At 41.7% G+C, this 14,648-nt stretch overlaps 1 protein-coding gene and 1 long non-coding RNA gene across 2 annotated transcripts in view; one reads left to right on the top strand and one right to left on the bottom strand.

The window, feature by feature from the left end:
* Positions 1–1,627, top strand: part of SCOC-AS1 (SCOC antisense RNA 1) — an 89,667-nt gene extending 88,040 nt beyond the window's left edge. Inside the window, exon 5 of the long non-coding RNA NR_033939.1 lies at positions 85–1,627. This is a non-coding gene — a long non-coding RNA (SCOC antisense RNA 1). The remainder of the gene's footprint in view (positions 1–84) is intronic.
* Positions 1–14,648, bottom strand: part of SCOC (short coiled-coil protein) — a 128,421-nt gene that overhangs the window by 100,376 nt on the left and 13,397 nt on the right. The window lies entirely within an intron of this gene.

The raw sequence follows: 14,648 nt of genomic DNA, 5'->3' as shown, positions 1-14,648 counted from the left end.
AGACCTGTTTGTGACAAAGATATGCTCTACCACAATTTTCCTCCTATCATCTAAATTATCTCTTCTCTCTTTTGGCTCCTTAAGAAAAACCTGCTCCTGATTACAAGGATATGTCGATTGCAGGGAGGCAGAGGAAGAAATACAACAGGATGTCTATCGAACACAACTTTGGAGTAAGACCTTGGGACCCAACTCCTGTTTGCTTCATATACAAGCTTTGAGACGTGATGAGTTTGCCTCGATTCTCTAAGCCTCAGTTTCCTCATCTGTTGTTGTGAGGGAAATAATGCATGGAAAGCTTTTAACACAATGGCTGGCACACAGTGAAAGTGCAAGACGTTAACCATTATCATGAGAGTTTTCAATTGGAATGAATAGGAGACTTAAATTTGCATGATTGTACTTTTACACTAAGCCATTAATGATGCATTCATTTAGTTTTCTACTCCCAAAGAACATAGATTTGATTAATTATAACAAGAATTTAAAAATATTTCCATTATTCAGAAATAACCTACAGAGTCTAAGCCTGTCCTTTCCTTCCTCCCTTTTTCCCAATCTTTTTTTTTTTTTTTTTTTTTTGAAAGAAATAGCAATTATGTAGTCAGATTCACTGGCTCTTTCTTCTTCTCCCTGGTAACAGGCTAAGTCTTAACCTTGATTAGGCAGCATCGCATCTGATCTAAGTTCTTCCCAGCTTTCAGCCCAGCCTGCTTCCCCAGGCTTCAGAGCGCAGCTCTGCACCACCCTCTCCACCCCTGCTTAGCATCAGAACATTGCCAAAGCTAAGCATCTATGCAATGTTTCTTTTGAATAGTTGTCTACCTACTTGGATATTTTTTTCCTTCTCCCAGAGGCAAAAATTGGACCACTTAATCTATGCTGTAGGACAGTCTTGCCCCTCAGAAAATACTTGAGCATATTAAGTTGTTATGAAATGGATCTGAGAAGCAGAGTTCTGAACCATGCCCGTGAATTTCCCAGCCTCATCACACTGGCATTCTTTCATAGCCCCGAAATACTTTCCACTTGCCCTTCCTATGAATGCAAGTAAAGCAAAGCCTCTTGACAAAGCAAATTAAGAGTAATCAATGGTTTGGGTTTTTTTTTTAATTATTATTTCCTGTGACTCAAATCAAACCTATTTCTCAACTGTAACGTACGAAAAGAGAGAGATCAAGTTGACATTTAGGAAAATTGAACATTGATAAGTAAATTGCCTTCACTCAGTCTCTTAGGTCCTCTCTCCTTTCCCCCTACCCCACGACACCCCGTGGCCCTGCTCTCTCTCACACACACAGCTGAAGGTATCTTTAAAGGGTACCTATTTCCTGCAGATCACGCTTATGTTAATCTCACTTCAAGTACAGATGCACCGAGGACATTACAGGGTCAGTCATTCTTATCCACAAAGCTTTAGATTCCACTACATTATTCAAACTGGACAATGGACTTCCCCATTTTGTGCCCAGACTTGCTCACTAATAGAGTGACCTCCTTGTTATGGGTGAGGATATATTTGATGCTAAAACTGCTACAAATTTTTATCAGCATTTAATCTTGAGACTGTGAATTACTACATCCTGCATGTGTTGGTACCTTACTTTGATTAAAAATGGGATAAATCAATGAGAGAGTCTTTTTATCCAAGGCCATGTTCCTTTCACATGAAGGTCATATACGGGCTAATTGGACAAAATATAAATCATGTTTCTTTCCACATTCAGTTTTAGATCCTGACCTGTTTTGTGTCAAGAAATCACAGGGAGCCCAACCTGTATCATCAAGATTGTTTTGATTTACAGATGATTTCCTTAAATCATAGCATGATGACATTCAATGCAATTCCAAAATTAAGGAATGGAGAGTTCAGAAGGACATTTAAAAAAAAAATGCTTGTAGTGTTATAGGAAAAAGTAATCAGAACTTTGACTCCATTTGCTTTCCTGTGTCATAGAAATGTTGAGGACAGGACAAAAATATAACTCCCACCAGTAACACCAGTCATACCCTCGCTGGGAGAGGTGATGTAGAAGAACTTCTATCATTTTGATCAATTGAGCAGCTGGTCTCTTCTTGCTTTAGGGTTTATTGGTCTGCTCTCTAATTTTTATAAGGTATAGAAAATTTGGCCTTTAGTAAAATGGGCAGGTCTCATTTATTTTTTTCATGTTAAATATTAATTTTGAAGATTTCAATGAAAATTGTGCTAGGATAGCTTAAAAATAAGATGGACATGCTTACAGAGAAAGAAAATGTATAAACCTGTTTCTTGAATGCTAGATCCAATCTTGATGGCAATGAAAAGAAACAAACTTCTTCTCCCTCAGCCTTCCATCTCCCAAATGCAGGTGACCCCAAATGGGGTTGCTAGATAAAATATAAGATACCCAGTTAAATGTGATTTCAAAGAGCAAATTTTATTTTTGTATAAGCATGTCACAAATATTGCATATACTGTTTCCTTTGCTGAAGTTGGCCACCCAACTCCAAAACCTTTAAGCAAATGTTCCACAGCTGTCCTGGGAGTCGGAGCTTAAGAGATTGATAATCCCACAGATTCAAGAGCAGGGAGGTACCTGAATGTCATTAAATCAACCTTTCATTTTACAGATGATCAAACAGAGGTTAAAGAGATAAAAGCCATTTTCTAAGAACACACAGCTGACGATGAAGAGTCAGGTGGAGCTGCATCCTCTAAGGAGCATCGCCCCCCTATAGTGTTACTTGAGGAGTTTGACTTTAGCATTAGCACATGAGCAAGCGTATTCTCTTTCTCTGTGCATCTGTCTAATAAAACAATAGGAATATAGCACAAGTAAACTCTATCACCTCCACAGGAAGGGAAACAGAACTGGCTACCTTCATGGGGACGGGGGGTGGGACAGGGGAGGCAAATTACAGAGAACAAAGCGTAGATTAGTATCTCAATAAATTATCCTGCCACATAGGCTTTCACATGTCAGGTTTTCTTAAAGTGGGGCACATTCATGTTAGCAATTCATGATTACTGTGGTTCATTATGGAATCTTCCCCTGGAGACCTTTCAGAATCAGATAGAAGGCCATTTGTCTTTGTTAGCCAAGTTGCAGCCCTATCAAGGGACCTGCAGGAGGATGAATTTAAATGATTTCCCCAGAACTCTTCTGAACCATGGACTCTATGAAAATTTAAACAACTAATATTATAATGTTCAAACCTAAGACTAGAATAAATGCAAAAGTAGCTTGGTGTTATTACAGAGCTTCAATATTACTCAAGGATTTACAGAATCATGGAAAATCCCTCCAAAGGCCATGGGAATGCCCGGATTGCTTTCCTGAAACATCATAAGGGGGCAGTGTAGCCTATTTGGTCGATGATGATTAAGGGTGTTATTTATATGTATATAGGATACCCAATTTCCTCACTTTTTGCCTGAGATGCATTGTAGAGAGCCCTCAAAACAGGAAAATGCATTTTCCCCCACAAACAGGGATAACTAAGGTCAGAGGCTGAGATACTAGGGTCCCCCCTCGCCCCCTGAGTTCCCCAGAGGCTCTTCCGTTGCTGATTGGCTGCATTTCCAACTCCCATTTCCCATTTCTCTTGCTTTTCCTAAGTAAGCTAGTGAGGTGGCAAGGAGAAGGCTCAAGTGAAACGCCACACTCCCCCTGCCCCAGGTGGTCCTGAGTTGGAGATACGGGGGAGGCCACCTGCTCCCCAGCACCTGCTTCCAGCTGGATGAGGAACTTGCAGGCCAGGTCAGGTTCTCTGGGATCCAGGATGAAAAAGACTGAGGCCACAAAGCAAGAAATAACAGCGCTGCCTAAGTATGCCCCCTACATAACCCAAACAACCAAAAATGTAAGCCATGAGTATTAGGACTGGAAATGTTTCCCATATGTGGAGCCTTGGGATGGCTTTGGAGCTTATTTCATCTAACCTATTCATTTTTCTGTGAACATATGAGGGACTCATTACCAGAAATCAGTCTTTCAATCTTCACTGTTAAGGGAGAACCCTTCTTCTGCACACCTGATGTGTCCCTCCAGGTAGAAGGAGTCTCATTAGCGTAAAATTCCTGGCCTCTCTCCCCACACCTGTTCCTCATTTAAGGGAAGAAAAAGTGACCTAATATGATGGGGACTTGGGGGAAAAAACCTAGGTGAGTGCCACCTCGCCTCTTCCTCCTCTCTTTTTCTTCTGTGGGGAACAAGTTGCCCAGAGGAACACGCTCTGCTTGCCTGCTCCAGGACAGACTCTCTCTCCTATAGAGAGAGGATGAGATGGGATGCCCAGACCACGTGCTGAGGAGTGAGTAAATGTGCATAAATCTTGTATTCAATATCAGAAGACCACTTGTCAAAACATATAAGCCATATTTCTTGAGTAGTAACTTTTGTAGCAATATAGATGAAATTTGACCTCCATCTGCCTCCGTCTTTTGCCTTATTTCTCCATTCTGAATTTCCGCAAATGTATTGGGAGCCCTCAAATCTCCACATCCATGTGAGGGGTTCTTAAACATTTTCAGGTCGCAAATTACTTTGAAAAATCTCATGAAGCGTCTCCTCAGAAAAACACATTTCCTAAAGCCCATATGTGGATCTCAGTTAAAATCTACCCGATGTGTTTTCATGATGAATTTTATAAGGTGATATATACAGAGCAAGTCAAAAAGACTTAATTAGCTCTTTTTAGGAGTCCATGAAAACACAGGCATTTGACAAACATCTGCCTTACCAACATTCAGTTATTCTAGACGCATACCAAGTTTGATTTATTTCATTAAATAAGCAATGACTGAGGGACTGCTCTGTAGCAGGCTCTCAGGTAGGCACTAAAGGGAGAGAGAAGCATAAAGAGAAACAAGACAATACTGTTGACCTCAAGAAACCCAGTCTAATGGGAAAACACAGTGGTGAGTAAAAAATCACAACATGGCCAGGCGCAGTGGCTCCCATCAATAACCCCAGCACTTTGGGAGGCCAAGGTGGGTGGATCCCTTGAGCCCAGGAGTTCAAGATCAGCTGGGACAACATAGCAAAACCCTGTCTCTACAAAAAAACAAAAATACAAATACAAAAATTAGCAGGGCATGCTAGCGCATGCCTGTAATCCAGCTACTCGGGAGGCTGAGGTGGGGGGATCACTTGAACCCAGGAGTTTGAGGCTGCAGTGAGCTGAGGTCACGCCACTGCACTCCAGCCTGAGCAACAAAGCTAGACCCTGTCTCAAAACAAACTGACAAAAAAATCACGACACAATGGACTTTGCAACTCACTGTAGCCATATGATTCAGCTCTTGCCAAAGGAGTGAAATTGGAAGTAGTATGTGCAACTTCCAGTTCACGTCCTTAAAGGGAAATAAAAAACCTTTCCCTTCCATTTTCTCCCTTCACAATAACTAAAATGTATTTGCTATGTTGAAAGCTAGAGCATCCATCTTGGGCCCTTGAGAGAAGCCACATATTGAGGATGGCAGAGCAAGAAGATACAAGAAGTCTGGGTTGCTGACACCACTGAGCCAATACACCTACCCTGGAATACTGGCCTGGGAGAGAGAAAAATGAGAGAGAGAAAAAAATATAAGTTCTGTCTTGTTTAAGCACTGCATTTTTAGGTCTCTTTGTTACAGCACCTAAGGTTTAAACTAATACACTGTGAAATGCACTGAATCACGGGAGAACAGCACAGTTCATGGGATGAGGCTGGTGGCAGCAGGCCTTTTTATTCTTAGGTTATAGACATAGAAACCAAGGCAAATACGTTACATCTTCCAGAAAGTCACAAGAATCGAATCGAAGCTCAAATTTTCCTCTTATGTTCCAATCTAGTACTTATTATTTAGCGTGTCCAGTATCCAAGGATAGTCCTTGAAACAAATTCTTTAAAAAAATTCCAAGCAGTTGACTAGTGGCTGCCATGTGCCAATCACTTCAGTGAGCACTGAGGATGAAATACAAAGCAGAAACAAAGTCCCTGCTTTCATGGCCCTTGTAGTTGGTGACAGAGGTTGCTTAATCACAAAAAATGAGTATACTATTACATATCCATATGAGTTCTCTTGATGAAACAAACATGGACTTAGGAGAATATGTCATAAAGAAATCTGACCTGGATGGGTCTCTGCAAAGGCTTTCCTGAGCTCATGTGCTTGAACTGCACCCTAAAGGAATAGAAGAACTAAACACAGTGGAGAATGAGAGAGAATATTCTCCAGGTGGCAACAACAGCTTGTGCAAAGGCCCTGTGGTGAGAAGCTGCATGAAAAGTGTGAGGAACTAGATGAGGCTGGGTGAAGTGCAGAGGAACAGGGAGAGATTGGTGCAAGATGAGGTGGAAAGGTAAGTAGGGCCAAACTACACAGGATCTTGAGGAGCATATTAAGAATCTTGGTCTTTCACCTCAGAATACTTCATCCCTGGGGAAGGAGAATGAGAGGAAAGGGGAGGACGACATGATTGGTTCTGTTTGTATCAAGAAGAACAGATGGGGTTGGGGGGGCAAAGTGAATACGGGGGAGTGATTGCAACTGCCTAGGCAAAACATTATGATCATTTGGGCCGGAGGTATGGCAGGGAGTGGAGATAGTTGTCAGCTGGAGGCCAATGTCCTGGCATAAAAGGGAATCTCACCTGCTATGATTTGAATATATGTGTCCCTCCAAAATGTATACATTGAAACCTAATCAACACAGTGATAGTATTAGAAGGTAGGGCCTCTGGGAGGTGACTAAGTCATGAAGGCTCCACCCTTGTGAAGGATGAATGCCCTTATAAAAAAGGCTTCACCTGTAATCCCAGCACTTTGGGAGGCTGAGGCGGGTGGACAACAAGGTCAGGAGATCGAGACCATCCTGGCTAACACAGTGAAACCCCATCTCTACTAAAAATACAAAAAATTAGCCAGGCGTGGTGGCAGACACCCATAGTCCCAGTTACTCAGGAGGCTGAGGCAGGAGAATGGCGTGAACCCAGGAGGCCGAGCTCGCAGTGAGCCAAGATTGCGCCACTGCACTTCAGCCTGGGCAACAGAGCAAGACTCCATCTCAAAAAAAAAAAAAGGCTTCAGAGAGCTGCCTCCCTCTTCCACTTTTCCACTGTGAGAGGACACAGCAAGAAGGCATCATCTTGGAAGAGGAGTGTAAGCCTACACCAGACACCAAATCTTGAGTCCTAGTCCTTGATCTTGGACTTCCCAGCCTCTAGAACTGTGAGAAATAAATTTCCGCTGTTTATAAATTATCCAGTCTATAGTATTTTGTTATAGCAACAGGAGCAGACTAAGGCAACACCTTTAGCCAACTATACTTAGTTCACCTAGATAAGTCAGAAGAAGCAAATATACATAGAATTATATAAACTGTGTGAACTGCAAATGTTTCAAGCTTCCAGAATCCACTATGGCAAAGATTTGCTTTTGCTAGAAGTTTTGCCACCTTTGTTTTCTTATTTTTGCATTTGTTTTACCTTCTTCTTCTTCCTCTCCTTGGTAGTGAAAGAGCCAACAAATCTCTAATCCTATAAGTTACATCCAGGATAATTCCCATTTGGGCCTTTCCCTAGAAACAAACATGCATCCTCTGTGTGTGTATTTGTTAAGTGACTAATGCAGAAATCAGTGGCCATCACATTCTCTGGGCATGCCCCTATTGTTTTTTTTGTTTCAGACTTTGTTTGTTTTTATGCTGCTTTTTTACTAAAAATTGGAAAATAATACTCTCTTTGTCTAAAAATATCTCTTTGTACATATTCTTCAAAAGCTTATAAGCTACTTAAGAGAAACTTTTTCCCTCCCTTTTCCACCAGAAGTAGAAAGATAAGTTACTCCTTGATGAAATTATTGACTATACATCCCACAAGACTTCCTTCAATAGCAAGTAAATATTCCCTCCATAACAATGGATGTGGAATGGAATAACAATGGAATAGCACGAAGAATAGGAAAATTCTTAGAGTTTTAATAAAAGATTTCTGAGAGGACCCAAGGAGGCTGGTTTTACACAAAAGAGACTTGGTGATTCACAACAGCTCCCCTACCCCCTGCCCCCCCCAACTCATACAGTGGGGAGGGGGGTCTGCAGCCTAGTTGTGGGTGGCCTCTACCTGAAAGTTATATTCCCTCTTGGCCTATTCCCTCTTGGCCTGTAGGTCATAGGCTTGAGTCTTTGTTAAGCTCTGTCTCTTTAAGCTCACAAAAGAGAAATCACACTCTGAGAAGTGAAATCTAGTTGCATTTCAAACTCTTACTAATTTTTACAAGGGGGAATAACAATATAATTTTTTTAAATTAAATTCTGAAGAGCCTAAAATTCAGACTAATTCACAAGAACTTTCTTTTGGTCCCTATCAAATACACAGAAATTCAGTTTAAGTTTGCAAATTGATCCTTAAAAGACCTCCATGAGGAGAGAGAGTAATATTATTAGCATTTACATTGTTGGTATGTGCATGAGACTTCTTGATCTGCAGTCCAATACTCTGCCTCAGAGCTATACCCCCTCCTGATATGTGTGTGAGACTTCTAACTAAGCTGACCAACTGTCCCAGTTTGCCTGGGACTAAGGGGACTCCCAGACATGGTTTTTTTTTTGCTTTAAAACTGGGAGAGTGGCTGGCCGAGGTGGCTCACGCCTGTAATCCCAGCACTTTGGGAGGCTGAGACAGGTGGATCACCTGAGGTCAGGAGTTCAAGACCAGCCTCCCCAAGATGGTGAAACCCAGTCTCTACTAAAAATGCAAAAAATTAGCTGGGTGTGGTGGCGCACACCTGTAATCCCAGCTAGTTAGGAGGCTGACGCAGAGAGAATTGCTTGAACCCCCGAGGCAGTGAGCCGAGTTTGTGCCACAGCACTCCAGCCTAAGCGACAGAGTGAGACTCTGTCTCAAACAAACAAAACAAACAAACAAACAAAAACCTGTGAGAGTTTGGCCAGGCACAGTGGCTCACACCTGTAATCCCAGCACTTTGGGAGGCCAAGGCAAGCGGATCACTTGAGGTCAGGAGTTTCAGACCAGCCTGGCCAACATGGTGAAACCCTGTCTCTACTAAAAAATACAAAAATTAGGCCGGGTGCGGTAGCTCACGCCTGTAATCCCAGCACTTTGTGAGGCTGAGGTGGGCGGATCACGAGGACAGGAGATTAAGACCATCCTGGCTAACACGGTGAAACCCCATCTCTACTAAAAATACAAAAATTTAGACGGGCGTGGTGGCGGGCACCTGTAGTCCCAGCTACTCAGGAGGCTGAGGCAGGAGAATGGCGTGAACCCAGGAGGCGGAGCTTGCAGTGAGCCGAATAGTGCCACTGCACTACAGCCTGGGCAACATCGTGAGACTCCGTCTCAACAACAACAACAACAACAAAAATACAAAAATTAGCCGGGCATAGTGGCACACACCTGTAGTCCCAAGCACTCGGGAGGCTGAGGCAGAAGAATCGTCTGAACCTGGGAGGCATAGGTTGCAGTGAGAAGAGATCATAGCACTGCACTCTAACCTGGGAGACAGAGCAAGACTCCCTCTCAAAAAAAAAAAAAAAAAAAAACAAACCTGAGCGAGTTCAGGGGAAACTGAGATAAGTTGGGTACCCTCCCTAATATGCAGTTCATTAATTTTCTGAAGGAATTTAAGCATCAATCCCTCAATACGTATTTATTAAGGACTTATGTCTGCTCAGTACTCTGCTAGGCACTGTGAAAGATAAAAAGGGTATAAAACTCATGAGCTCCATCCCTTGTCTGAAATTCTGTGACTCCCTGATTGCTTCCTAGAAGTTAATAATCTAATTTTTCAAAATATGCAACAACTGCTTACTAAACGTTACTTGTCAGGCACTGTGGTTGGCACTTAGGATGCAAACATAAATGAAAGACCAAATCTGGCCACAAGGAGCTTACTGATTTAGGGGGAAGACGGATGTTACAGATAATATGTAATACAATACAACTTGGTAAAGGCTATCATACATCTATGGCAAAGTCTCAGGCACACACAGCATAGCAGGATGTGACTAGCTGGCTGCAGCTATGTGCAAAGACAATGATAGTACCAGGCAGCATGTGATATGTTTCATGCAGGTGGTGGTCTACATTCTGCATAATAAACATTGTAATAGTTCAGAGACAGAAAGAGCCCTCTTAACAGGGTCATTATATCTGTGTATATAGGGAAAGACCTTATTGAAATGAGAGGATTTAAGATAGACTGGAGTAAAAATGTAATATGTATGGATAAATATAAAAGAAGCCTTGCATGGACCAATCATACTAGTTTGTTATGAACCTACGATTACGTTTTATCCAGTTCTGTGAATCTGAGGTGCAAAAACCAACCAACCACCACCAACAAAACATTAATTAGCAGAGATGGGGAAGATAAAATTCCATGCGAATGTACCAGCATCACCAAAGATCTAGATTAGAAGCAAGAAAGATTAACACCCTTTAGCATTAGATGGATTTAACAAAAAAGGAAAGCTTTATGTAGAAGAAAAAGAGAAGAAAAAATAGGCTAAGGTCAAATTATGAAAGATCCTGAATTGCCGAGAAGCTTGGAATTCCTTCCTTAGACACCGAGGAGTGGTTGAAGGCTTTTGAGAAGGGAAGTGCTAGGGTGAAAGTTGTATTTTAGGAAGCTGAATCTAGAAAAAGTGATAACCCAGGTCTTGCATGAATTAGAGAAGATTCTGAGTTAATTAGTTAAAGCCAAGGAAGTTTTATCATGCATGGAAGGGAATATTAAATACAGTTCTCCCTTTTTGCGGCAGAACACAGCTGCTGGCTGAAGGGAGGGAGAGGTTCTTGGCATCTCCCTAAGAGGTTGGGAAGCTGATGCACCTGCCGAGAGAGAAACTGGCACCTCTTCTACATAGAGAAGCATGGCAGCCATGAGTGAACCTTTTGCCTTCATCAGGAGCCCCCTCATAACTGGAGAAGGTCATCTCCAAGGAGAAATCAAAGAAATAAGACCTTCCACCTCCAATTTCCAAATAAAAAACCACCTAGAAAATGGTTACAGCTATATATGCCTAGATTGAACTAAAACAAACAAAAGTAAAGCGAAAGTCTTCCATATCATTCCATATTGTAGACACTTTCAAATTCCTTTCTCATAATCTATGTCTATTTCTAATTCTACCTGTACAAAATATAATCATGCCTGCTTGTAATTACTCATGCATACATGAATACTAGTAAGTTAAACTCGCTCATCTATTTACAAAGACAGGGTGATACATAGTAGCTTAGGAATTGCTTCTTTTCCCTATGATTTTAAATGTACAACGAGTTTCTTTCTAAAACACATATTTGCAGATGTCACTTTAAACACTATTTTCTGAGATTATATTTTCCATAGAAAACAGATGTCTGCAATTATCCCTTTTTTGACCTCTGAGACTTATCAAAGTCAAATAGGTAATCATCCAATCAGACGGGCTATCATTATCAGAAGAAAAGTAATTATAATCTGAATATGTTTGAACATGATTATTATAAGCTTTAAACTGTTACACTTTTGATTGGGGCAGAATTGGAAGACATTATCACTTCATAATTCAAATGATGTAACTTCTCTTGTTTTTGTCATTTAGAATCTGGAGAGCTAAATTTATTTAACAATATAATTCTTTAAACATGAACAAATTATGCAATAATCTCTTTAAAACCATGAGAATGCCTCTCAAAACCTTGACAGTGAAATTAGGGGATTTTTTTTTTTTCACCAGAGCAAATCAGAGCTCGGCACTGAGCCCCGTCAGAGTGGGAAGCTTGAGGCAGACATGTTCATTTCACAGACATTTTGTGATCTGCTTGATTCTTTCAGAGACCAGCTGCTTTCCTGCCTACCTGTTGAGGCCCACACACTGCTGGTCCAAAGCAAAAGGAGAAAATTAGGCCAAATACAGAAATGATCAGAAAGAAAAAAAAAGATGTGTAAAAGAAAAAAATATCTTTCCAAAGAAGATGTATAAACAGAGAAATGAATTAGAACTAAGGATATGAATTTAGAGGGAAAAGAATGTTGAAAACTAAATGTCTCATAGATATAGAGTAAAACATCATTTCCTATTGAAAATAATTTTATAAAACCTGATTACACAGCCCTTCAGTCCAGATGTTTGTTTAACTTGGTGAGGGGTCCTGATTTTTCTCCTTCATCTTTTCCAAGATCTTTTCCCTTTGTATTCTATTGTGTTTTCCAGCCGACCTGCTCATCTCCTCAGGAAGGAGCTGTGGGGATGCCAGGGCATTCCTGTGCTGTTGCTGGGGCCTGAATTAACAGTGACCTGGGGAACGTCGATAAAAATGAGCACGTGGGCCCGTCAGAGAATTTCTGTAGCTCAGAAGAGCTGGGTGTTTGTTTTCTCTGAACATGGCGGAAGGTTAGAAACAGTAAGAAAAGAGGGGCCTTCGGAGAATTTGAAAGGCACTGAATGGATATTTTTCCATAATCAGAACATTTCTTAGACCAATGGTTTAGGAGGCATCATTCAACTTATAATTTTAGTTCAGCAGAGTGAAGACCGGAGCCTTCCCCTCCCCGCCTTCCTTCCCCACCCAAATATAGCAGACCTTTGGAAAAGCCAAATTTGCACTTAATATCTTTCCACTTCCCGTATTAAAAGTATCCCTTTCTTCTTGTTGACACATCTTTTTGACTTAATTTCTTCCCCTCCCCTGCACCCTCCACATCTATGTTTCAATATGCTTCATTCAACAAAGAGCTACTAAGTGCCTAATATGGCCAGGCGCTGTGGATATACCAGTGAACAAAATAGACAAATACCTCTGCCCTTCTGAAGCTTACATTCTAGTTAGATTCTTATCAATGCTGGCTGCTCTGTTATTAACTGATAACAAAGGTATTAAAGGTGTTATCGAGGATGTAAGGTGGTGTTCTTTTATCATTCAGGGAACCTGCATCTTTGGTGAGGGGTAGGGCCCAGTAATGTGCATTATTAAGCTCCCTTGGTGATCTGGACCCTACTAAAGTATAAAAGTGATGACACAGGCTGGGCGCAGTGGCTAACGCCTGTAATCCCAACAATTTGAAAGGCCAGATTGGGAGAATCCCTTGAGCGTAAGAGTTTGGGACCACCCTAGGCAACATAGTAAGACCTGGTCTATAAAAAAAAAAAAAAATTAAAGGTAGGTGGGCATGGTGGTGAGCACCTGTAGTCCCAGTTACTCATGGGGGCTGAGGTGGGAGAAGCCCAGGAGGTCAAGCCTGCAGTGAGCCATGATCACACCACTGTACTTCAGCCTGGGTGACAGAGCAAGACCCTGTCTCAAAAAAAAAAAAAAAAAGTGATGATAGAGAGTGTGACTCCCGCCACAGAAGTGGGAGGCTTGCAAGCTAAGCCATAGGAGGGTCGACCTTGCGCTGCCATAATCTCTGTGGGTGCCTCCTGGAATTTCACCACACAGACAGGCGCCCGTTCATTCCACCTTTCCAAGGCTGGGCTGCACAGACGCCTCCTCTGCTCTCTCTAGTGTGCAAAGACTGTGAGCTCACTACTTTTTAGTACCTCAGTGGCAGAGACCCTGTTTGATTAGCATGACTAATGATGTATAACTCCCTATCACCTAGCACAGTGCCTGGGACAATGTGAGTGCTCAGAAGCATCTAAACGAAAGCCTGGCTGTCAGTTTCACTTCCCAAAAGCTTTGATGCTCTTTTTAGTCCACATGGAAACATCTTCCATTGTCTGTGTGCTCCCTGTTGGTCACAGATTCCCAGCCTAACATATTATCTCACAAGATGCCAAGCTGGAAATTCCCAGCTAGATTCTTACTCTACATTTTACCCAGCTCAGGCACCTAGATTATGGCACTACTTTTAGATGGAGATACTTTCTTGATATTTAGACCACAGTGCCAAACCTTTTGCACATCCATGCACTGCTTCTGATGCATTTAGCTCATTAAAATAGGTGGCATCCAGCTGCATCCAACTTCTGTCTCCTCCTAATCTACTTTCAAATAACCAAGGCAGCCTATTAACACTTGGTGTTTTCATCAGACTTTGCACACTACTGCCTTTGAGCCTTGTGATCACATCATTTCCCATCTTTTCAGAATGTTCTTTCTCCCCAGTTTTGCCCAGACCCATTCTATCCAACTTTCAAGACCCACCCAGCAAACACAATGCCCATCATCCATCGTCTCTGAGTGGGGGCAGCAGCAGTCTGAATGACCCTTTTCCACAAGTCTTCTGTGACCACTACAAGCAATCCCTCCTCCTTCTCATTGCTTCATGCAATTATTTTCTATAGAAATTACTCAGCATCCTCATTTGCTCTGTAAATTATCTTTTTATACAATTATAGATGCCCACATGTATGCTTAATTAGCTCGATGAAGAACAGAATAGCACATTGGTAAGAGCATGGTTTGGGGGGTCCAGCAGACTCAGGTTTAAATCTAGGTCCTCCCCTTGGTGAAGATATGACTTACTTCTCAGGATTTCAACTTTGCCATCTGAAATATAGGGTAATTGTATCTATCTGTATCAAGCAGGTCTTTTTATTCTAATTCTTTGATGTGTGGGACCTTGCTGACCCTGGAGAGATTGCTGCTCCCAAAACTAGCCAACTCCTAGAGATAGTAACCAACTGATCTGTGAATGTGCCTTTCTATGCAAACCAACCAATCTAAAGC

This window comes from Homo sapiens, chromosome 4 (genome assembly GCF_000001405.40).
Source record: "Homo sapiens chromosome 4, GRCh38.p14 Primary Assembly".
Classification (NCBI taxonomy): domain Eukaryota; kingdom Metazoa; phylum Chordata; class Mammalia; order Primates; family Hominidae; genus Homo; species Homo sapiens.
Note: the sequence above shows the minus strand (reverse complement) of the source record. Positions and strands in the feature narration are given on the sequence as shown.